The 25,680-nt window shown below is 40.4% G+C and overlaps 1 protein-coding gene across 1 annotated transcript in view, besides 2 other annotated features; it reads left to right on the top strand.

Moving 5' to 3' along the window:
- The window catches only part of EXT1 (exostosin glycosyltransferase 1), a 317,337-nt gene that overhangs the window by 143,151 nt on the left and 148,506 nt on the right, over positions 1-25,680 (top strand). The gene's annotated exons all lie outside the window — the stretch shown is intronic.
- Positions 9,392-9,686: a silencer, noted in NCBI's record as "tiled region #8624; K562 Repressive non-DNase unmatched - State 24:Quies". NCBI's record gives its function as "represses a minimal TATA promoter and a strong SV40 promoter by Sharpr-MPRA in K562 cells {active_cell/tissue: K562}" and the evidence as "EXISTENCE:reporter gene assay evidence [ECO:0000049][PMID:27701403]".
- Positions 11,171-11,671: an enhancer, noted in NCBI's record as "H3K27ac hESC enhancer chr8:118969244-118969744 (GRCh37/hg19 assembly coordinates)". NCBI's record gives its function as "activates a minimal SCP1, AML or CMV promoter by ChIP-STARR-seq in primed H9 embryonic stem cells {active_cell/tissue: H9 hESC(primed)}" and the evidence as "EXISTENCE:reporter gene assay evidence [ECO:0000049][PMID:30033119]".

Raw genomic sequence — 25,680 nt, 5'->3', positions numbered from 1 at the left:
ATGGCGTGAACCCGGGAGGTGGAGCTTGCAGTGAGCCGAGATCAAGCCACTGCACTCCAGCCTGGGTGACAGAGTGAGACTCCGTCTCAAAAAAAAAAAAAAAAAAAAAAAAAAAAAAAAAATAAATAAATAAATAAATAAATAAATAAGGCAGAATAAGTAGTATTTAATTAGAGCACAGACTTTGTGGTAAGGCAGGCCTGAGTTTGAACCTCAGCTGTGATACTTATTGCCTCATTTGAAAAAAGTAAATTTTGGCCAGGCATGGTGACTCACACCTATAATCCCAGAACTTTAGGAGGCCAAGGAAGGAGGATTGCTTGAGCCCAGGAGTTCAAGACCACCCTGTGCAACACAACGAGACCTTTAAAATTTCAAAAAACTACTAAAAATTTCAAAATAATTAGCTGGGCACGGTGTTGTGTGCCTGTAGTCACAGCTACTGGGGAGGTTGGGGTGGGAGGATCGCTTGGGCCCCCGAGATGGAGGCCACAGTCAGCTATGATCATGCCCCTGCATTCCAGTCTGAGTGACAGACCCTGTCTCAAATAAAAAAATTTTAAAAAGTAAATTTTATTGTTTATATTTAAGGCATACAACATGATGTTAAGAGATACATGTATATGTAGATAGTAAAATGGTTGATAGTGAAGCAAGTTAACATGTCTATCATCTTGCATGGCTACCCATTTTTTTGTATGTGTGGCAAGAGCAGCTAAAATCTATTCATTTAGCAGAAATATGGAATACAATACTATTAACTATAGTCCTCATGTACATCAGATCTTTAGACTCGTTTGTTTTACGTATCTGCCACTTTGTTCTTACACACTTGTGTGATCTTGGGCAAGTGGCTTCATTACCTCTCCACCTTTAGATTTCTGTTCTGTGAGTTAAAAGTAACTCTCAGCACTGTTGTAGCAGAATCCATGAGTAAGCACTCAATAAGTGGCAAGTGCAATCATTATTAGCAACAACCGTAATAATAGCCATAGTTCCATTATTAAAGGGGATGATTGCCCTTGTTATCCAAGTGCTCATCTCATTTGACTTTGGGCCTTTGGAATTAATAAAGCAGGCTTAGTTCCTGGGTTTGGTTTTCCTTTTTCCCCCAAAGTTTGTTTTGTTTAGTTCAAACCATATTTTATGTTTCCATTTATAAACACATTCTCTCAAGTGCTGAACTTTTAAGCATGGAAGTCTGAAGATACCTCCTCTTGTGAAGGGAAATTTAAAAAATATTTAATGACTGCTTTTTAAGTTTTTGGTCTGAGGAAAGAGCAGCATTACCTTGGTCATTGACTAAAATAAAGACATAATAAAGGTACTGGAAACTGAACAGAAGTATGGAGTTTGTGAGTGAAGAGTTGGTCACACAGACAGCTCTCCTTCCTCAGACATTCAGGTGCATTCTGGGTAAGTTGACTGATTTCAAAATGCTCACCTTCAAGTGCCAGGCACAAAATTATAATGAGCTTCCTTTCTCATAATTCTTCTTTTCATGATTTTCTCAGCTGGATTCTTCAAAGGATTATTTGTAAAGACCTTTATGGTGTGTTATGATTTAATCAGATGTAGCCCGAATTTCCCAAGATGTGTTAATTATCATTGCCACACAAGTGCAACAGAGGAAGCAAAATGTTTTTCATTTGGGCAGGTTGAGGGTTTGTTTAAAACGTACTTAGGGCCATTAGGATCACATCAAAATATAGTGCATGGTAATTATGCATGAAATAGAAGGTTACCTGCTGTTTAAGTAGCTAGTTTCTTGATAATGTTGCAATAAAGTATTGAGAGAAAATTGGTTTCTCAATAGCAGTGGAACACCTTGTTTAAGGGACAAAGTGAACTGCATTAGGCTGAAAAACGAAAAGGGGGAAAATAAAAATAGATTTTATCATCAAAGTTGTCAGTGGATATTGTTCTCAGTCTTAAAGAATTATTTTTAGTCTTTCCCTTCATCAAAATGGAGAATTATTTGTTTGCATGTAGATTGTGGTAGAGTTGGTATGTTTCAGATTTAATGAAATGCAGAACAGAATAAATCCCTCGGGAAAGAAAGGAAAGAGGGGATACGCCAGACTTAGTATATGAGAGTAGTCAAAAGCCTGGCTTTAAAAGTCAAAGAAACCCCAAAGTTGACACCTGGTCCCTATGCTAACTAGCTGTGTGACCTCCTCCATGTTACTTAACCTTTCCGACCTCCCAGTTTCTTTAGTAGCAAAATGGAGATGTTATTATTAATATAACAGACCTTGTTGAAAAGATGAAATGAGACATTGTATGTAAAGCACTTTAGGAGGACATGTCTGTCACATGGCTGTGCTAAATTAGATGTTATTATCCTGTCAACAGGCTGAATAGCAAGGGGGAAAAGTTCTAAACTTTGGAATCCTGTCGTAATACACACAGAGATCTCATTCCTTGTGAAAGAATCCTCGTTTTGGAATGGGATGCTGCCTTGGGGAACTGCCATGACAAGGATATGAAGTTACAACTGTGATGGTGGTCCTTTGAAGAATATGTGGAGACTTTTCTCTATATTGGATTATTATATTTTTACTTTTGGGAAATAATTACACTTTGAATCGTTTCATGATTATTTGGCTAACAAAACAGGTGATTTCTGTGAGTATATATATGTATATGTGCGTGTGTATATATGTGTGTGTGTGTGTGTGTATATGCATGTATGTGTTTATTTATTTATTTTACCATGGACATGCCCTTGATGAAAAAGAAATACTTTGCTTGGTTATTCCTCCAAGTGGAAATTTGGACATTACCCTTTGTTCATGGTGGGGAAGATTTTTAGTTATTCCACATATCAGAATTATCTACGTGAATAGTTAGCACATAATTAGGATTAAAAAGTAACTAGTTGCAGAAAACTCATTATTTTTTCTAATTCTAAGAAAGTAGCTTCATTTTGGGTATTAGAGAAAAGCTCAAGAGATTCACTGATTAATATGTATTGAGCCTGTTACATAGCTGACAATGTGCTAGTGTTTTCACAGTTTCTATCTAACTTACAAAATAACTGAAAGAGGAAGAAAAATATTCTATTCCATATGTATTAGAAAACTATCCTTTAAGTTCTAAAGTTGGCTTATGATCTCCTGAATTGCACAATATTTATCTGCAAACCTTGAAACTATTTAATCAGAGACTTCTGACCCCAAAATGCCAACATTACTCTTGGTGGTCTTTCAAGGTAATTCCCCCTTGTTTTTAGTGTATCCATTGAAACACTAAATGGAAATATTTAGTGCCCTGATGCTAAGGGAATATTCCAACTAGCGGCACTGATTCCACTCCAGGTTATTAATTAAACAGTAGCAATCAGCCCATCTGATCTTTAATATTCTATTGCTGCTGACTGATGCCCAGACATCAGACATTTTGTAATCTAATACAAAATTGCTCTGTGCTTAGGACTAAAGAAAAACAACACATAATTTATACTATGTTTTATCTTTATTTTCAAGTTCCAGAGGATACGCTGGTTGTGTCTTTCAATGATTAACTTAAAAAAACAAACAAAAAAACAAGACACTACGTATCTCAAGCCCAACATGAAGGGTATTGAGAGTAAATTATAGTTAAATCATTTATTTCTGACTTTTTCATTTTTATGTATTCATTTTTTCAACAAATATTTATTGAATGCCTACTGTGTGTCAGGAGACATCCTTCTAGGCACCTGAACTTATAACAGTGAGTAAAACAAAGATTTCTGGCTGAGCGTGGTGGCTCATGCCTGTAATCATAGCACTTTGGGAGGCCAAGGCGGGCAGATCACCCGAGGTCAGGAGTTCAACACCAGCCTGGCCACTATAGGGAAACCCTGTCTCTACTAAAAATACAAAAATTAGCCAGGCATGGTGGCACACGCCTGTAATCCTAGCTACTCGGGAGGCTGAGACAGGAGAATCACTTGAACCCAGGAGGCAGAGGTTGCAGTGAGCTGAGATCATGCCACTACACTCCAGCCGCCTGGGCCTGTCTCAAAAAACAAAAAACAAACAAACAAACAAACAAACAAACAAACACACACACACACAGACATAAAACCCACAAAAATTTCTCTTTCTGTGAAATTCACATTCCTCCCAAATGGAGGTTGTTGGAAAATTTTAAGGTGCTCTTTTGACTCCTGTGGTTGTACTTGGAAAGAAGAATTAAACCAGAAGAGGAGATATTCTACAAATCATATTTGGGTGATTTAATTAACCTCTGTCCACTATCCTCACTCCCCACTCCTTCACTGCTACCACCAACAAATATCATGCTTACACACATACCTTGAGGGGAGGAGGAAGGGAAGACAAATCAGAATTTGCTGTACATGCAGTACTCTAGAAGCCAATGTGGAGTTGACCTAAGGGGATCCTTATAAAAACTTAGCAGACAAGAATTATATGCACTTCATTGGAATTCCACTAATTCCAGATTTCAGATCAGCTGGGAGGGTTGTCTAGACTGAAGCTTTACATTGTTATCTTTAAAGATAATGTAAATTAAAAGGATGGAGGGGAAATAGGTAAAGTGTATAAGTAAACAAATGATACAAAGCACTGTAATTCCCCAAAGCAGTTTCTTTGGCAATGCACAGTGGTTTCTACTTAATACTGCATATTTTATAGTTTTCACTAACTTTAATCAACATAACCATTTAGCCAAAATTATGGTGACTTTCATCAAATGAACCTCATGATGAAAGGGTTGGGAGGGGATGTGGGTTGCATGTAATAAAATCTCCATATATTTTGCATAAACAAACACACACATCATCCTCTTGGGAATAAAATAGTTAGCAGGAGCATTTTTAGAGATAGGGTGTTACTCTTTTGCTGTTGTGCCAAACCCCAATTAACCTCAATAGGGGCCGGGTGCAGTGGCTCATGCCTGTAATTCAAGCACTTTGGGAGTCAGAGGTGGGCAGATTACCTGAGGTCAGAAGTTTGAGACCAGCCTTGCCAACATGGTGAAACCCCATCTCCACTAAAAATACAAAAATTAGCCAGGCGTGTGGTGTCTTCCTGTAATCCCAGCTATTTAGGAGGCGGAGGCAAGAGAATCGCTTGAACCCGGGAGGTGGAGGTTGCAGTGAGTTGAGATCCTGGCACTGCAGTCCAGCCTGGGTGATTGAGTGAGACCCTGTCTCAAAAATAAAATAAAAAAATGAAAAACCACCACCACCACCACAACAAAACTCGAATAGAGAAGGCGCCGTGTTCAAAAGGCCAAAGAAGAGACTCAGAGCCAGCAAATAAGACATGGAGTTTTATTAAGGGCTTAATACAGGAGAGAGAGTCCAGTGGTGGCTGGCTGGACAGGAGAACCACCTTATGTACAGAAATGGTCCAGTGGCAGCTAGTTGGACAAGGTAACCACAGGCTCAGTGGCAGCAAGCTGGTCGGGAAAACCACAGCTGCCTGCAGACATCATGTACTTTATATGGCATTTAACTTAACACCTGCCCTAACGACCTCCACTGGTAACCTTCATTTAACCTGAAACTCAACACCTCAATCCCCTATACAGCCTGTGTTCCAGGGAACAGGAAGGGAAGGAACAAGACTATTGGATGGGATGGGATGGGATGGTGGGAGAGCAGCTCAGATGTTCCTCATAGATAAGGAAAGACTCTCCAGATTTGTCATGTCCAGTTTCCTACCTTGGAACACACATTCAGGTGCATCTGCCCTAGAGGGTCATTCTAAGGGTATGCTTAAATTAATGCTATCAGGGGTGTGTACCCTACAGTCACCTAGGCTGGAGTGCAGCAGTGCAATTACAGCCCACTGCAGCCTTGAACTCCTGGGCTCAAGGGATCCTCCTGCCTCAGCCTCTAGATTAGATGGGACTACAGGTGTGTGCCACCATTTTTTCTCTTTTTTTTGGGGGTGGGGGGTGTGGGGGGATGGAGTCTTTCCCCATTCCCTAGGCTGGAGTGCAGTGGCATGATCTGGGCTCACTGTAACCTCTGTCTCGCAGCCCCAAGCAATCCTCCTGCCTCAGCCTCCCAAGGAGCTGGGATTACAGGCATGCACCACAAAGCCCAGCTAATTTTTGCATTTTTAGTAGAGATGGGCGTTTCACCATGTTGGCCAGGCTGGTCTCGAACTCCTGACCTCAAGTGACTGCTGGCTTTGGCCTCCAAAAGTGCTGGGATTACAGGTATGAGCCACTGTGCCCAGCCATTCTTGGCTAATTTTTTTTTTTTTGGAGATGAGGTCTTGCTGTGTTGCCCAGGCTGGTCTCAAACCCCTGGCCTCAAAATGCTAGGATTCTTCCACCTTAGCTTCCCAGAGTGCTAGGATTACAGGTGTGAGGCACAGCACCAGGCCCCCTTGGCTAAATTTGGTTTGCCACACTTTACAGAAGCAACGTAAGCAGTTTCTGCTTTTCATAGCATAGATTCATAGAAAGAAGAGTATTCCAAATAGATAATGGTTTGTTTACTATAGCCACTGGGTAGTCTGAAGCATATTCTTCTACCAGGAAGTGGTAGTTTTGCCTAGTACCTGGTGACTGAGGAAGAAATCAGTGACCTAAACTGACAAATGAGCCTACTGAGGTGGCATTGTTTAAATGCACAAATCTGAGGCAGTGGAAAGAAGGAATTGATTGCCTTGCTGGTATTTTTTCCCCTGCACTGACCCTTCTTAATTAATACATGAGGTACCATTTACCCAAACAGATTTTTCAGCACTCACTTATGGAGGACACTAAGTGGCGAGTTCATAGTTCAGGCAGAGAGCTGGCAGATCAAGACTCCTTTCAACTATGAGATCTGTGGTTCTATGCAAGGCGACCATGAAAGGAGTTGTTTAGACCCCGTTTTTCAGGCCAGCAGCAGGAGCTCAGCCCGCCATTAAGAGTTTGTTCTGTGTGCATGTTGTAAGCACCTGAAGTTTCTCTTGAATGTTCTCTTTAGAAAGATCCATCGTTAGGGTGCAAGAGCAATTCTTATTTGCTGCAAGAATATTTATCCTTAACAGCATATAGCTGAATCTCACTTTATATATGAATTCTTGAAATAAGTGCACGTATGTTTCATGCTTGCAAATTGCATCCAATTAGAATAGCTTATTTTAAAAGCTGTTTTAGAGAATTCAGAAGTATAGACTCATAAAATGTCAACTTATCCCCTAATATTCCTTTTGGTACATTTAGATTTCTAGGTGCTGGTTTTGCTTACATTCACTATAAATCTTAATTGCAAAGCATATTCAAGCCAATGATCAATATCAAAGAAAACTATTTTTTTTATCCTAAGGCCCATATGCCAGAATCCCCCTGTCCCCCAATCTTTATGCTTCTTCCTCATATCTGCTTCCAAATCAAGAAATGATTGGAATCTGGGTGCAGTCACCTGCACCCTGTAGTCCCAGCTGTTCTGGAGGCTGAGGCAGGAGGATCACTCCTTGAGCCCAGGAGTTCAAGTTCAGACTGGGCAACATAGCAAGACTTTGCCTGTTAAAAAAAAAGAAAGAGAGAGAAAGACAGAAGGGAGGGAAGGAAGGAAGGAGGGAAGGAGGGAAGGAGGGAAAGAAATGCTTTGGCTAAGAAAATGCCCTGAAATTTGGTCAAAGTTGGAGTTTCCTCAATGCCAAAGTAAACGACCATTTGCCCATTTACCCTCTACTTCCCACAAAAGAGTTTATGACTCTTGCGCAGAGTATTGCACCTTGTTCTTCTTTTTTTGATACTAGAATCACCAGGATAAGTGTGTAGTGTAGACCATCTCAGGCATATTTCATTGCTGTCGTGTTTTTCCCCGCTATTATTTGAAAAACAAAGGATTTCTTGTAGCTCTTCAGTGCACTAACACTCACACAAATTGCCCCAGGCTTCTCATAAGTAGGAAGTTCCAAAATTAAATGTCTAATTTTGCTGCTTAAACATCCTTTGTTGGCTCCGTGTCCAGGATGCTCTTATCACTTCCTCAAGATGGCCACCTTAGGCAGTCGATTCTGTTAGAACCAAATTGTAATTAAACTATTTTAATTTTATGCACTGATTACAACATTTTTCTCTTTATTATGCATGGTGAAAGTTCCTCACTACACAGATCCAGGTACTTATAATTATGTACAAAAGTAGTGAAACTGTTTTCTAAGCTGTATTCACTTACCTGATTTGTTTCTCTATCCAATCTCAGTTGAGTTCCTCTAAGACAGGGTGATGGTGGTGGTGAATTATTTGTGTTTGGCTTAGATAAATAAAAACTGGAAGAGTCCATTAAGGTTGGAGCTTTTTATAAGCTTTCAAAGAAAGCAAAGTTGAGGTGGAGTTAAAATGTTGGGGAGGATTGCATTTAGATTACATGTACAAAATAGTTTCAAGTTTTACCATGAAAAGTGCAAATTGCACTAAATTTGAAGACAAATTCACAACTTTGTATATTTTATTGGGTATCTATTTTATTTAATTTATTTATTTATGTATTTATTTTTGAGATGGAGTCTCGCTCTGTCACCCAGGCTGGAGTGCAGTGGCACAATCTTGGCTCACTGCAACCTCTGCTTCCCAGGTTCAAGCGATTCTCCTGCCTCAGCCTCGTGAGTAGCTGGGATTACAGGTGCCTGCCACCACACCCGGCTAATTTTTGTATTTTTACAAAAGATGGGTTTTCACCATGTTGGTCAGGCTGGTCTCAATTCCTGACCTTATGATCTGCCTGCCTTGGCCTCCCAAAGTGCTGGGATTACAGGCGTGAGCAACCATGACCGGCCTGGGTATTTATTATGTGCCAATCTGTTGTTCTATATAACGTTCATGACAACTCTGTGAAGTCACAATGAAGCTTTGAAATGATAAGTAACTTTACTATCTTTTAGAGAAAGTAGAGGCAGAAGTGGATTATGAACTTAGGCAGCCACCCTCCTTAACTTGGGTTCCTAGATGCTGACACCGGGCTCAAGTGCCTGATTCACTGTGGTTTGAGCAGCTGTATTATGAAGAAATATTACAATGCATTTAATATGAGCTTGGGCTGTGTAATCACACAAACGTGTGTCCAATATAATTATCTCCCTTACTGTCTGTGATCTCCAGTGTCCTCATCTGTGAACTGAGGAGGTTAAATAAGATAATGCGAAGTGCTTATCCAGCATCTGCCTCAAGCAGGTGATCATGATGACAGTGGTAAGGACTGTGCCGAGAACTGCCTCAGTTACATTGTCCTCTTCCTTAGTGGTATGCTTCCCATGGTTATAATTTGAAGACGCTTCTGGCCTTCAAATATAGTGCTAGCTAGCAAGGGCACAGAAGAATGAAACAGAGTTGTTTGTGGGAAACATGAAGCAGAAGCGAGTGATGGACAGAGGTGAGGCCAGGGGAACAGGCTAGAGCTTGATCAGGGCCGGCCTTGTGTGCTAGGCTAGAGCTTGATCAGGGCCGGCCTTGGGTGCTAGGCAGGAGAGTTCTGTCTCCTGCGGGAAAAGCTGCCTGTCCCTTGGCCAGCTTTCCCTAAGGCATGCAGCTTTCACAGGCACTAGCCATTCTTAAGCCATTTTCTCTTTCCTTCACTTTGTGCACAACCTGTTGGAATTTCTCAGGTCCAATGTGATGCTAATTGGAGGAAGTGTGGAGTTGGACCTCCTAGGAGTTCAAACAAGGGCCCCTTAGTGATTGCAGTTAGAACCTGGACTGTTTGGTCAAGGGAAGTAACTAGGATCAGTGCAGAAAAACCCAACCTATTGCTTGTTCTCAGTAGCCTCAGAAAGGAGATTTTGCATGTGGAGTAAAATGGGAATGTTTAGTAGGGGAGCCAGAGATGGTAAGTGCAAGAATTGTGAGAGAAATGGCATATTTAGGAAAGAAAAAAAGGCCTTGAATCTGTTTTCAATGGAATAATTTAACTTTAGTAAATTACATACTTTTGCTTAGGCTAGTTGAAAAGAATGCTCTAGTTCTATGTGCAGGTAGTAAAATTAGTGCCTTTCGGTACATAGTAAATGCTCAATAAATATTTAATAGACTTGATTATTGTGTTTCTCTGATATTAAATTTTTAGACTCTAGTTCACTATTATCATTGCTTTAATTTGGAAAGCAATTAAGCAACCAAATTATAGTAGAATGATTTAAATAGAAAGATTATTTTTAGTTTAGATGTGATTCAGATAAATATTTTGATGACCTAGTCTTGTTTTCATTTCTATGTGGATTCAGTGTCAATGTTTCTTCATTATCCAATTGTTTTTGGTGTTGGAGGGGAGAAGTGACACATTTAATTCAAATGTGAGACAAGACACATGTTTGGCTCTTTCGGGAAGTCAAGGTCATTTTAGAAGGTTTAGGGTCATATATGGGAAGTGTGATGATGTAGCTCTATAGATTTCATTTTCTAGGCTCTATCCATACATTCTGTTTCTATTTCTCCTGTGAACCTTCAACATCTGGATGCTTTCCTATGAGATGAATGTTGTTCACAAAGAAATTTATGCTTGAGAAAAGTCCTGAGGCATTCTTCCCTACTTTATGTTAGTCTCCATTTAAATAAGTTTCTAAACCTTTGAAGAGAAAGTGCACTTATTAAAAAAAAAAAGACTTGGTAACAGGAACTCTTGAGGTGGGTATTCAGTTTGTTAAAGGCATTAAATACTGTTCTCTTCCCTCCTTTTCCAAAATAACCATTAGGTTCCACCTTTACCAGTCTCATTAACTCTGTTTTAAGAATGAGCTGATTGTTTGAGTTGGTTAAGATAAGATCACCTCAACATCTGTTGGTGATAACTTTATCTCAAGTGTATCTTTAAGGAAGTCCATTTCAACTGAAACATAGTTAAGTATCTTGAACTGCACAGATATGCTTTCAACTTTGAGCTGGAATTAGCATTTTTATCTTCTTTGGGAACTGGACACAGAGAAGGAAAAGAATAAACTTTGTTTACTCCTTCCAGCCCAAACCCTCCATTAAAAATTTTTCTTAAAGTACAAAACGTTTGAATGCCCCATGAAAACATCTCAAATGATTGTGCTGGGTGTGTAAGCAAGGCAGGGTTTTACTGTTTTAAAAACGCACTTGGGGGAACCTTGAGGAGTTTGCCTTTTTATAAACCCCTCTGATCTTCTATGTGAGGAAACGGAGGTCCAGTGAGTGAAAGTGATTACTTCTGGGCAGAGCCAGGCCCGTGCCAAGGGCTTCCTGTTTCAGTGTCTGTCTCCCGTTGGGGCTCCCTCCGTAAGACCTGCAGCCTGTTTATTCCGGGCCGAGAGGCCAGGGGGAAGGGCCATTATGAACTCACTGCCATTCAGGGAGTTATTGGATGCTTATTAGAGGCCCCAGCATCTCTTTAGAGGCATTAATTTAGTAGCACTGTTTCGCTGGTTGCATAGTTTGCAACTTAGTCAAAAGTAATGAATTTAACCAATCCTCAGCTTTCATCTTGTTTTAGCAGTCTTCCAAAAATATCAGCAATAAGGGGGTGATGTAAAAAACTCTTAAAACACACACATGAGATCTTCTGCTTTTAATATTTGCTGTGGTTTCTCTGCACTTTTGAGGCTCTTCCCCTCGTTGTGTGTGTAACTCTTGGTGACTCTTAACACAGTGCTGTCGCCAAGACACAAAGCAAAGAGAACGTGCCATGAACTGCTTCCCCGGAACTATCAGATGGTTCCAGTTAAGAAGGAAATTATGACTCTGTTGTTACAGCCTGGGAAAAGTGAAACAACATGTTTCAAACTTGCCACTTCATGGTCACGGGATTGAATTGGGCAGAACATTTTCCAGGCCCCAGCTGGTAGTGCCTCCTTCACGGAGGCGGGTATCTTGTGCCCACTCTGGTGTATTTGCACTCCCAGAACCTCCTTCTTTCTCTCTCCTCTTCCCCCATCAGGAATATATGCTCATGGTTAAGGAAACCTAGCTTGGATTTCCTTGGAATATATGTCCATTTAATTTATAATTTTAAGGCTGGATGCAGTGGCTCATGCCTGTAATCTCAGCAGTTTGGGAAGTCAAGGCAGCCGGATCACCTGAGGTCAGGAGTTTGAGAGGAGCCTGGCTCATGTGGTGAAACCTTGTCTCTACTAAAAATACAAAAAAAAATTAGCCAGGTATGGTGATGCGTGCCTGTAGTCCCAGCTATTTGGGAGGCTGAGGCAGGAGAATTGCTTGAACACCAGAGGTGGAGGTTCCAATGAGTCGAGATCATACCACTCCAGCCTGGGCGACAGAGTGAGACTGTCTCAAAAATTTTTTTTTTTAGAGTTTAAGATGAGAAAGCAAAGGGAACCTTTTCCTCTATGTTGAAATACTTCCTTGGAATCATTTGGTAGATTCTCATAGAATGGTAGTCAGAGTCTTCCACCAGTAGTCAGGAAATTCAAGTTTCACATCCTTTTTATAAACCCCTCTGATCTTCTAGGTGAGGAAACTGAGGTCCAGTGAGTGGAAGTGATTACTTCTGGGCAGAGCCAGGCCCGTGCCAAGGGCCTCCTGTTTCAGCGTCTGGGATCCCCGACTTGTTTTTTTTTTTTTGCTGTTAAAAAAAAATCCGTAGTTATCACTTTCACTCCTTTTCCTGTGTGTGTTGTTGTCATTCATTAATAATGCTTAAAATAGATGGCAGAGGCTCAGATTATCTGTAAACAGCAAATACTCTAAAATCATTTTGATTTTTAAATCTGCTGCTGCTTTTCTCATTATGTTAATGTTCCATCTTTTTGAGTATTGTTTATTGTAATGTAAGAACCAGTCATGCCTGGGGTACACTCAAGCTGGATCCTTGCCATAAGGGCAGGCTGGGGTGAATGGTGGTACACTCTTGGTAAATGTGACATGATAAGAAATATATATTTGGGCCAGGCACATTGTCCTGCACCTGTAATCACAGAACTTGGGGAGGCTAAGGCAGGCAAATTGCTTCAGGCCAGGAGTTAGAGACCAGCCTGGCCAACATGGTGAAAACCTCCTCTCAACTAAAAATACGAAGATTAGCTGGGCGTGGTGGCTCCTGCCCGTAGTCCCAGCTACTCGGGAGGTTGAGGCATGAGAATCGCTTGAACCCGGGAGGTGGAGGTTGCAGTGAGCTGAGATCACACCACTGCTTTCCAGCCTGGGCAACAGAGTGAGACTCTGTCTCAAAAATTTGGTCTCTGCCCCTTGACACCCAACTGCTAAAACCCTTGTAATTTCCTGAGTGATAGAGGTGATAAGAATGTCTTCCACAGAATTCCCAAATCCCTTGGAATTTCCTGGGTGATAAACCTTTTGTTCTAATGAGGTGATTCTTAGTGGGTTCCTGGATAGCTTCAAAGTGGTGATGTCATCAGAAAGACTAAACTGTCATTAGAAGCTTGGAACTTCTAACCCACCCTACCCCTATTCTCCAGGGAGGAGAGAGGGGCTGGAAATTGTTTAATTATCTATCATGCCTATGTGATGAAACCCCCTCAAAATTTCTAAACTATGAGGTTTGGAGAGCCTCCAGGTTGATAACCATATCCACATGCCGGGAGGATGGTGCACCCCGACTCCATGGGGATAGAAGCCTCTGTGTTTGGGACTTTTCTGGACATCACACAGTGTACCTCTTCATCTGGCTGTTCATGTGTATCCATTATGTCCTTTTTAATAAATCAGTAATAGTAAGCTGTTTTCTTGAGTTCTGTGACCCCTTCTAGCAAACGATTGAACTTGAGGAGGGAGTCATGAGATCCCCTGACTTGTAGGCAGTTGGTGAGAAGTATAGGAGACCCAGACTTGTGATTGGCATTTGAAGTGAGGGATAATCTTGTGGCTCTGAGCCCCTAACCTGTGGTGTCTGCATTAACTCTGGGTAATTACTGTCAGAATTGAATTCAATCATTAGATATCAAGTAGGTTTCCAGGAAGTTGGAGAACTTGTTGTTGGTGTGAGGGGAAGAAACCCATAAGTTTGGTGTCAGAGCATTGCCAGTAGAGAAACAGGTCCCCCCCACATATGAGTTGGATGGTGTTATGCTCTTGGTAGGGCATTTGTTTTGAATAATTCACAGATGCAGAGTGTTTGCAGAACCGTAATGGGGTTTTGAATTATATCCTTGTATAGGTGGGATTACAAATAAGACTCCAAATATAGGCTGGTTTGAACCTCAGTTGTATTCATTGTTTGTATCATTTAGCAAGGACATATATAATCTAAATAACAACGAATAGAGTGGGAGGGGAGCTTCAGAGTTGGCTCAGTCCATGGCTCAGTCATATCCCTAGAGTTTTAGACACTTTACCTTTCTTCACTTTGCCATCTCAGCATGCCAGTTTGGGTCACAAATGGACATCTTATGGGGGCAAGACAGCTGTAGACATCACATCAGAGTATGACAACTTCTAGTCTCCTCCTTGGGTCTCCTCTTAGGAGCAAGAGACTTTCCTGGAACCCGTTAGTGGACTTCCTCTCTGCTTCTCTGTTTAAATCATTCACTGGCAGAATAGCAGTACCCTGGATAGCTAGGGCAGTCAGGAGCCATCCCCTGAGGGGCAGTCAGAGCTGGGCTTCCATTAGTCGCGGGTCAAGCAAACAGCCCCTGGGAAGAGAGGAGATACACAGGAGAGATTCTTCTAGAAAGGAAGAACAAGACCAGAAATGGATTACTGCAGCCTGTTTCCTTAGTTGTAAGGTGGAGATAATAATAGCACTTAATAAGATTATTGTGAGAACCGGATGAGTTAATACATATAAAGCATGCAAGACAGTGCCAGGCACATAATAATCTTTCGGTAAATAACAGTTTTTTTATTTTTATTTTTATTTTTTCTGTTGTTGTTGAGGTGGAGTCTTGCTCTGTCCCCCAGGCTGGAGTGCAGTGGTGCGATCTTGGCTCACTGCAACCTCCGCCACCCGGGTTCATGTGATTCTCCTGCCTCAGCCTCCCGAGTAGCTGGGACTACAGGAGAGTTTATTTGTTAATACATTGTATGTATTATTATTATGACAATATTGAAGGCATCATAATATATTGGTTTTATAAGAAATGTTAAAGAATGGGAGAGGTGATAAAACAGTTGCAGGGATGACCCAACTACATGGCTGCATAACACACTCTAATCTGAAATGGGAGCAGAGGCATCATTCACTCTCAGTAATTTGGCGCTGGTTGTTTGGCACATTGAGTCATAAGCATTTGAGTCTTCCACGGTGGCACTGTCACCATACATGTGACCCACAGATTAGATACGAGATAGGTGGAGTGGAGAAAGCAGAGTAGCTGAGAGAGTACTTGATGAGGCTGTTTGCTTCATTGGGGCTCACAGTGCTAAGAAAAACCATTTGCAGAATCATGGGAGCAGAATGATCATTTCTCCTATAATCTGGGGTCCCAGCCTTTAGGATGTATCCCTATTCAATGTAAAACACTAGGTTTTATTCAGTGAATGGCAGTCTAGCATGGTTATGCTAGCTGAATGGTCTTATAGGGAAAGATTATAGCAGATATATGTATATATATGTATATCTATCTATCTAACTATATATCTCTATATAATTGGTATAGTTGGCTAAGTGACAGCTGAGGAGCCAGCTGGATCAGAGTTCAAAATAAGGTGACAGTCTACAAATCCCTGGAAGACTGGAGCAACAAAAGAGGGAATCGTTATTTGGACACAGTGGGGAAAGTGAATGAAAAGAAGAAAGGCAAATTAATTAAGATAATTAAAACACAGACATTCTTGGCAATATTGAAAGCTATTTAATATTTGGCTTTCTAACTCTACTATTCAGTCATTTACAAAATATGGCTTATAATATGTCAATTGATGAATAACCTTTATTTTACTATAAAATTCATGAACTTCTTTGGTCTACACAAATCCATCTTCCATTTTCCATGGCTTACCTCATTTAAGCCAATGCAAAACTGAAAGTGGGGAAAAGAATATTGAGGCTTTATTATGAAATGCCTTCTCATCCACTTTTTTTTTTTTCAGTCTCCCTGTGTTGCTCAGGCTGGAGTGCATTGGCATGATCTTGGCTCACTGTAACCTCCGCCTCCTGGTTCAAGCGATTCTTGTGCCTCAGCCTCCCAAGTGACTGGGATTACAGGCATGAACTACTACACCCAGCTAATTTTTGTGTTTTTAGTAGAGACGGGATTTCATCATGTTGGCCAAGCTGTACTCTTGACCTCAAGTGATCTGCCCACCTTGGCCTCCCAAAGTGCTGGGATTACAGGTGTGAGACACTGCGCCTGGTGTCTCACCATATTTTTTGAGGGTTGATTATATTTTCCTTCTAAACATAGATTCCTTAAATGACTGTCATTCTCATCTTCCTTTTTCTGCTGTTTAGCAGGCTACCTGGAAGGCAGTACTACTCTGTAAATGTTTGCCGAATAGTTTTTGAACAAGTATGAACCAACTATATTTTAAAAGTAATTTGACACTAACTTTGTATTCAGATAACATTGTAGTATTTCATAATTTATTACCTATACCAGTAATGTGTATGCTATTTAATAAAGACAGAATGTGGTGATGTGTATTTAAAAACAGGATTTTTATGACTGATGTGTGCTGGGTGATTTTCCTAGGGTAATTACCGAATTAGTTCTTTTGGAAGCCACTAGGAGCTGTGTTTTTATGTGTTCTGATACTAATAATTTCTGACATTGGTTTAATTTACTCTTATGTTAGATAAGGTCCAAACCATCTAAACCAGGGTCAGCAAAATAGTTAATATTTTTGGTCTTGTGAGCCATATGGTCTCTGTCACAACTCTTCAATTCTGCCATGGTAGCTTGAAAATAACTATAGATCTTACATAAATGAGTGAGTGTGGCTGTGTTCCAATACAACTATTTAAGAACCTGAAATTTGAATTTCACATATTATTCTTCTGTTGATTTTTTTTTCCTAATGCTTTAAAAGTGTAAAAATCATTCTTAGCTTGCAGGCTGTACCAAAACAGGTGGCAGGCCAGATTTGGCCATGGGTTGTAGCTTATAGACCTGACATAGTCCACGTCATCTATTAAGTGTGCTACCAGCAGAGGAAGTGGTCTACATAAAGAGGATAATTTCTAAATCAAGAGTAGCCAGAAGAGTGGCTTGTATATAGTCATTTGTCTATGTCTCTATCACAGTCATAATTCCTTTGGTTCTTGTTATTTGTCTTTTTCCATAGGCAGCAGGTATCTTCCATGAAGGCAGAGCCATGACTCATTCTTCCCTTGTGTTCCCAGGGTCTAGTTTGTATGAATGTATGAATGAATACATGAATCAAGTTTACATCTCAGAAATTGGTGCTGTGGTTACTGAATTACAAAATATGAAATGTCTTTTGAGAAAATCACAAAAACAGGAGTCTGCTTATGCCATTATCCCATTTGCTGTGAGACCCTGAACCTATATTCTCACTTTCATAAACAGGCTTTGTATAACATGTGAAAGATAGATGAGTAAAAGAGGCCAATTTAGGTAGGGAAATATACAAATCATTTCAGAAAGACTTCCATTCCTATTGACTCCTGGTTGCCAAGTTATTTCTGTTCTTCCCTTAAAATAACCAGTCACGATAACACTCTAAAACATTACCTCTTCTCTCACTTTCTCCTTTTACAGAGGGATTGATTAGCTCTCAGAAAAGGTTTCCATAAGGAAATGATCTCAAATACAATTAGGTTTTTTAACTAATGTGTATTCATATTATTATTTCTGACATTGATTTAATCCTTATCTTATTTGGGGTCCAAAAATCAATAAGGCTCCCCCCAAAATATAATTTGCCTCTTTGGTTATAAGTATAGAAACTTACAACTTTTAAAAAAAAAATTTTTGTTTCTTCATGGAGTACAATGTAGAAAGCCAGTACAGTCCACCTGTTAAACATATGATAGGGTGATATGCCCAGTCTAGTTACAGAAAGCTCCTGGTTAGGACCCAGTAAAACAATCAAGGTGAACTTGAATAACATCTTTGTGTACATTTCATAGTCCATCTATTCTAATGGTCCAATATACCTATTTTTAAAAATCTCTTTCTGTGCCTGTTTTTAAACTCATTTCTTCTCCCAATGTGTTTATCCCTGGTTCTATCAGGGTAAGCCCTAAAGGGACAATTTGGACTTGACCCTGATATTGGCAGAAGATAGCTTTTCTCCTATTGTGGCCTCTTTCCTTTAGCCCTCGTGTTATCCTATCTTGACCAAGTAAAGGTTCATTGTGGCAGGAGTTTACATAAACAGGAATTGTACTCATACCCCATTTCTAGGAAAAATGGGAACAGCAGGCATTATCTGATGTAAAATGTGTTGAACCCTGAACAAAGTACTCAGTGTAAATCCGCATTTGGCTGTTACAACCAGCCAGCTGAGAATCAGTTACTTGAAATAGCTGCTGGTCGAAAGGTCTGTGGCCTTTCCAAAGATGTGTTGTTGACTTTATGGCAAGACTACTAGAACTTTCCTTGTTAGTGATTTTATTTTATTTTATTTATTTTGTTTGTGATGGGATCTTGCTCTGTCACCCAAGCTATAGTCGAGGGGTGCCATCTCAGCTCACCGCAACCTCCACTTCCCAAGTTCAAGCGATTCTCATGCCTCAGCCTCCCCAGCAGCTGGGACTACAGGCTCACGCCACCATGCCCAGCTAATTTGTTTTTGTTTTTTTGTTTGTTTATTTAGTAGAGTCAGGGTTTTACCATGTCGGCCAGGCTGGTCTCAGACTCCTGACCTCAAGCGATCTGCCCGCCTCAGCCTCCCAAAGTGCTGGGATTACAGGCGTGAGTCACCACATCTGGCCTCCTTGTTAGTAATTTTAGAAGAATGTTTGGATGCCATCTAATCCTCCCTAAGTCCCAGTTATCTTGTCTTAAAAATGGGCATAATGTCATTTGTCAAATAAGACTGATATTGGGCTTAAAAGAAGTCTTTTAAATAAAGTACTTAGGATAGTTTCTCAGATTAGCAGATCCTCAAGAATGATTCTTTTTCTCTCTTTCGTTTTCTAAATATCCCTTTGAAATCTTAATTAGTAAGATGTCTCTTTATTACCAGGTTTTATATTGTTGAGTATTTTCCATCATATTATTACTTATGTATGAAATAGTTGAGCTCTAATTACAATCTATTTTGTAATTGTGCAAATGATTCACAATGAAGCTTAAATGAATAACTTCCAAATGTTTGCACAAATATGATATATAATACGTATATATATTATATTTATATATCATATATACATGTATATATATGTATATGTGTGTATGTGTGTGTATATATACACACACAAACTAGGTACTGATATTAGACTTACCTGTGGATTATAAATATGTCAACTTTCTCTCTGGTCCATTATTATTTTTTAATGCTCTCAAATATTTCTAAAGCCATAAGTATGTAGGCTTATGATGGATGCATCGATTTTACATGAATATTTGGTATTCAAACTAAAGGCTATTTAACTGGTTTCAACTGCCTTTTATTTTATCCAGCTTAATTTTATCTTCCTTCTGAGGATAATTTTATAAACAAATTCCTAATATACTTAATAAGGATTACAAAATTGGGAACTTGCAGAATCATCTGGTTCTGAGGGTTAGCATGAGATTTTTGGAATATTTGTCTCCCAAGGATACATTAACCTATCTCTTAAATACTCTCAACAAAGAATATTAGAGTCGTTAGACAACATTTAAAATTCAGGCCTATCTGCCCTTCCAGTTTCAAGTTGGAATAGAGTTGTCTTCCACTGGGGAATAATTTGTCTCTATTAATTGAGAACAAATGTGCATGGGTGTTTTAATTACACAGTAAATTAGGAGAATTTAAGATGCAGAATATGTGAAAGCCAAGAATTAAAAACCAACAACCCAAAACATAAGTAGATAAACAGGAAAAATATCTCAGCATAAGAATGCAAGCACATCCCAAGATAAAGAGTGGGAAAAAATGAAGACCAAGACAAATTACTAGGGTTTTGGTCAAGTTCCTTCAAGTGGAATGATCCCATTTTTGGCTACAAGCCATTGTTGGCTATACATGGCAGGAGGAAGAAACCACACTCAAAGGATTACTTTGAGATGTCTGGCTTCAACTAGTGACCTTTTATGCATTCAGTGAAAATGAGTATTGAGGATTTCCTATACAAATTTCAACTTTACAGAGAACTCCCACAGCAAGTATTCAGTCTAGGTTCATGGAACCCTGGTACTATGTGTAAAGTTGTATGGTTATGAGTTTATGGGGGAAATAGGTCCAGAACGTTCTTAGATTCTGAATGGAGTCCGTGATCCTAAAATATAAGAATACAACCTGCTGCTTGAGCAGGGTGAACATTTGTTGACCTTGTTCTCTGTCACTTAAGATAAGTAAAGTTAGCATCTCATAAATTGTTACTACTCCTTTTTTTTTTTTTTTTTTTTTGGCAAGGGCAGTCAGAATGACTTCTTTCTGCCTCTCACCTCGCTGTGCATGCCAGATACTTCCAACCAAACTTGGTGCTTCCTTGCAAGACCAACCTGCTACTACTTCAGAGCACCCTCCTCTATCTCTTCTTACTATAATGTATTTAGATATTTCTTATTTTTTTTTACATTGCCCTAGGCATATGAGCCTTTACTGTAAGCTACCTTAAATCTTTTTTGGAAAGAGGTAGGATATAAATTAAACATACACCTCCCCAAGATCTCAGAGTGTTGATGGACTGATTACAGAGACGGGGAGCAGGTATTTCCTCATTCATCACTGGAGGCAGAAAAATCACCTCCAAATATTTGTTCTCTGATAGCAGTTGGGAAAAGTCCTCCTTAAATGAGAGGCCCACGAAGGGATGAATAGGGATTTTGGCTGACCTCCAAAGTGAAGCTAAGATAATGCCTGCCTTCCCAGTATTACTTGAGGCTAATTACTCAGATATAATTACTTGCACTCTGTGTTTTTGCTTCCAATAGGGTTGTGTCCTTGCTTTTGTTTATCTTGTATCCCCCATTAGACTTTGAGCTCTTTAAGAATTAAGGCTATCACTTCCTTTCTATTCATCATTTGTTCTTGAGGCAATGCTTTTCACAGAATAGTCAGGAATGCCATTTAAGTTAATGATTAAGATGTTAATCTCACATTGTTGCAAGTTAGGCAACTTTTGACCATCCTTTCTAGGAACCCCAAGTTATCCGCATTGTGAAGGACCCTAAAGTGAGCCTCAGGAGATTGTGGTGAAAGTGTCATCAACTTTTGGAAAGTTTCTGAACTTAGTGATGATTTGTGCTTTTTCAGGACAATTTGTGGTGCCAGCACTTAAGCGATAAACATCCCCCTTTAAATAGAGCTGATCAAGTTTAATTCACAGTAGTCGATGCCTAAAAATTATAGGATGCAGATGTATATTTTTCATGTAAACATTACCTCAAAAGAAATTAAAGGAAAGAAAGAAAAAAGTGACTTTGGATAAATGTCAAGTATATATAATTTATGTGTTTGAGCTCTGAACAAACTGCTAAATCGTTTGGCCATAGTTGGAGAGACAGAACATTTTACCTGTCTGTAGCTGGGAATCAAGTGTATTTACCCACAAGAGTGGCTTATTTCCTAGTTTATGTGGATTACACACATCTGTGTGTAATCATGTCTGCCCTTTCCTCTGCCTCAAATCCTAAATGGAATTAATAACTTATTGTGGTCCCTTTTAACAAGACAGAACAGATCTCTCTGCCTCAGGCTTAGGAGGCTCCTTTATAATAATTCTTGGCTCGGGTAACCCATATACTCCTCAAAAATCCGCCCCATAAATATCATAAAACTGGCCTCAAAGCCATCCACGTTTTCCTCTGTAAAATGAAGATGAAGCAATTGTGGAAGAAGGAAGCCTTCTCAAAGAGAAGCCAGAAGTCAATTCTGTTTCATTCCTCCATATAAGTTTCACTTTCCCCAGAGGAAGGTGGAAAATCCCTCCGAACGGTGCCAGGTGGTGGTGTAAGCACTGATGGTGAAGTTCACGTGGGAACAGGAGAAGTTAATAATTCAGAGGCCGTGGGCCCTCCCACCCTGCCCTGGATCAATGCCTGCTGTTTGCTGAAACAAGCTAGGAGCCCACGACTGGTCCTCGTGTATAGGATTGGCTCCATTTGTGGATGACGCTTTTGTCTGTTTTCCATGCTCGCCCAAGCTACGTGCCTGCCCGCTCCTGTAGGTTGCTCAGCGCCCTGGTTGTGTCTTGGCAGGCCCTGGTCTGTCTGTACCTTCCTTCTCTGTGACCAGCTTCAGGAGCAGGCCCCGGAGAGTGCTGGGATTAGGCGCCACAAATGCTTATGTAGGACTTTACTGTGCACTAAGTGCTTTGCAGTCCCTTTTATTCGTCCTCCCTCAGAGCGTTGACATAAAGTAAAAAACAAAAAACCATTACTCAAGTCTTTATGCCAAGGGGAAAACTGAGTTAGACACAGTCAAATATGCCTCATTAGCAAATGCAGATTAAAATGAAGACCCTCTAGACCCCAGTCATACTTTTGATATTAGATTACAGTTTCCTCATCCATAATACAGTAATCTAGGCCAGGCGCGGTAGCTCACACCTGTAATCCCAGCACTTTGGAATGCCGAGGCGGGCAGATTACCTGAGGTCAGAAGTTCGAGACCAGCCTGGCCAACATGGCAAAATCCCGTCTCTACTAAAAATATAAAATTAGCCGGGCATGGTGGCACGCGCCTATAATCCCAGCTCAGGAGACTGAGGCAGGAGAATCACTTGAATCCAGGAGGTGAAGGTTGCAGTGAGCTGAGATTGCGCCATTGCACTCCAGCCTGGGCAAAAGGAGCAAAACTCGCATCTCAAACAAAACAAAACAAAAACAAAACATAATACAGTAATCTTGTACATTGATATTTTTCAAATATTCTGTAGATGTAGAATTTCATGGGCAAGTCTAACATCTGAAATAAATAACCACAGACCAGGCGTGGTGGCTCACACCTAATCCTAGCACTTTGGGAGGCTGAGACGGACAGATCATTTGAGGTCAGGAGTTTGAGACCAGCCTCACCAACATGGTGAAACCCCATCTCTACTAAAAAATACAAAAATTAGCTGGGTATGGTGGTGGGCGCCTATAATCTCAGCTACTCCGGAGGCTGAGGATGGAGAATTGCTTGAACCTGGGAGGCGGAGGTTACAGTGAGCCGAGATCACACCACTGCCCTCCAGCCTGGGCAACAGAATGAGACTCCATCTCAAAAATAAAATAAAATAAAAACCACAGAGCACTTCAACTGGAAGAGGAAAGTGGAGTCCCCTGATCCTTAAACTTGCCCCCCTTTGCCCAAATGGCATCAAGAGCTCCGTGGAGTCCAGCTTGAAAAGAACTAGACTAAAAAATCACCAGGGTCTCTAAGTGCTAAAATGGAACCTCAGAGAGGGGTCCTGATGATTTGATTGAGGAAGGGTGATGTACAGGGGTTACAAGCATGGGCATCAACACCCAGCTTTACCAACTTGCTGTGTGATGTTCTTAACTTCTCTAGGCCTCAGTTTCCTCATCAATAAAATGGGGACTGTAAGTGAGATGATCTTTTTTATTTTATTTTTTTCTTGAGACGGAGTCTCGCTCTATTGCCCAGGCTGGAGTGCAGTGGCGCGATCTTGGCTCACTGCAAACTCCACTTCCCGGGTTCACGCCGTTCTCCTGCCTCAGCCTCCTGAGTAGCTGGGACTACAGGCGCCCACCACCGCGCCCGGCTAATTTTTTGTATTTTTAGTAGAGACGGGGTTTCACCGTGTTAGCCAGGATGGTCTCGATCTCCTGACCTCGTGATCCGCCCGCCTCCGCCTCCCAAAGTGCTGGGATTACAGGCGTGAGCCACCGCGCCTGGCCGAGATGATCTATTTTTTTAGCACTGAGCATAGACCTGGTCCATAGAGGTTCTCAGAAATGGTGATATTATTTTCATTGTTGGTATAACAATGTCAATAATAATTGCTGTACTTTGAATTTGGGGGATAGGCTTAGAAATAGCATCAGTAATGAAAATTGCCTGTTCTTTTAATATGTGTATTCTTCTTTAATAAGCATTTCAACCATATTTGAGTTTTTCCAATTTTAATGGAATTGTTCTGTCTTAAAACCTATTGTGTATGTGTCATGCCTACATAGTCTTCTGTGCAGAGTACGGTCATAGCCGGGCAAACCTGTTATCTAATAAGAATGTTCGCTTTTTCACATTCATCAGTCAGAAACAAATACTAAATAAACAGCTCTAAAGAGTAGTACCAGAACAATTAAGTTAAAATTAATGGAGCACTGAGACAATATATGCTGCCTTTGGGGCATTAACTCCGATTTCACTTTTTTATTTGTTTTTTTGGAGACGCTCTGTTGCTCAGGCTGGAGTACAGTGGCACAATCTTGCTCACTGCAACCTCCGCCTCCCGGATTCCAGGGATTCTCCTGCCTCAGCTTCCTGAGTAGCTGGAATTACATGTGCCCGCCACCACACCCAGCTAGTTTTTTTTGTATTTTTTTGTAGAGACGGAGTTTTGCCCTGTTGGCCAGGCTGGTCTCCTGACTTCAAGTGATCTGCCTGTCTGGGCCTCCCAAAGTGCTGGGATTACAGGCATGAGCTACCATGCCCTGCCAGATTCCACTTCTTTTACAGTAGTTAAAAGTAGAATTAGGAGAGAGACAACAGATAAAACCAGCCACACACTTTTGATCTCCCTTCTGTCTTTCATACGGAAATGAGAGTTTCTGAGAAAGGTAGTTGAAACTAGACAGCAGATAACAGCCTATGGCGCATACAGAGGGGGTGGGAGGGTGAAACCATACAGCTTGGTGAGGTTTGCCAGGAGTACCTGCTGGGGCCCTGGCATAGGTGACCCTGCAACCAAAACAGGAATGACACTAGAAGAATGAGGCCTAAGTAACCAGCACACTGTTAAAGGAGGTGGGAATATCACATCCCAGCTACGCACTTCCTGCCCCAATATCTAAAGGTTATTTCATATGGCAAGCTAGAAACAAAATACACACGTACATTATTACACATGTAATATCAATGGCAAAATTTAAAATCACTGATAATTTTACCTCTCAGATATTCCTGGTGATTGTGATCTGTGTGCTCATATGCTGATATGTACACCACAGGCATGTACGTGCAAACACTCACATGTACTTTCTTTTGCAGGAATATCATCACTGCCTCCTAAAGTGCTTCTTTCACCCAGCAGTCTACTCTAGGCAGTTTCCATTCTACTGAATATACTTGTATAAACACATTTTTTTTGTATGTGACTATATAGTATTCCTTTGCATAAATATACTATAATTTATCAAATAATTGTATGTCATTTGGTTGCAATATGCATTGTTACAATCGGTGCTGTGACTATTATAATCATAGCATTTCTTTACAAGCCTCCTCAGGTATTTCCATAGGATAAATTGTCAAATTGCCTTCCACAAAAGACCTCCCAATTTATTTTCTTACTAGCAGTTTGTAGTAGTGTCTGTTTACCCCTACTCTTGCCATTATCAGGCAATGTTTACATTAAAGACTTAAAACCATTTTTTAAAATTGCCTAAATAAATGCTTCCTTAGCAAATACTCTTTAAAGAAGAAAGTAGTTAGGTTTTCTGGCTAAACTTCTTAGGGCTTCTACATGAATGTTTTCACAAACATCCATTTCAAAGAGCTACTGGAAAATTGGATATGGACTATTTTGCTTTATTATAAATGTGAGTAGCAACAAGATTCTTT

Source organism: Homo sapiens, chromosome 8 (assembly GCF_000001405.40).
Source record: "Homo sapiens chromosome 8, GRCh38.p14 Primary Assembly".
In the NCBI taxonomy this organism is placed as follows: Eukaryota; Metazoa; Chordata; class Mammalia; order Primates; family Hominidae; genus Homo; species Homo sapiens.
The sequence above is the reverse complement of the archived record's forward strand: the minus strand, read 5'-3'. Positions and strand labels throughout refer to the sequence as shown.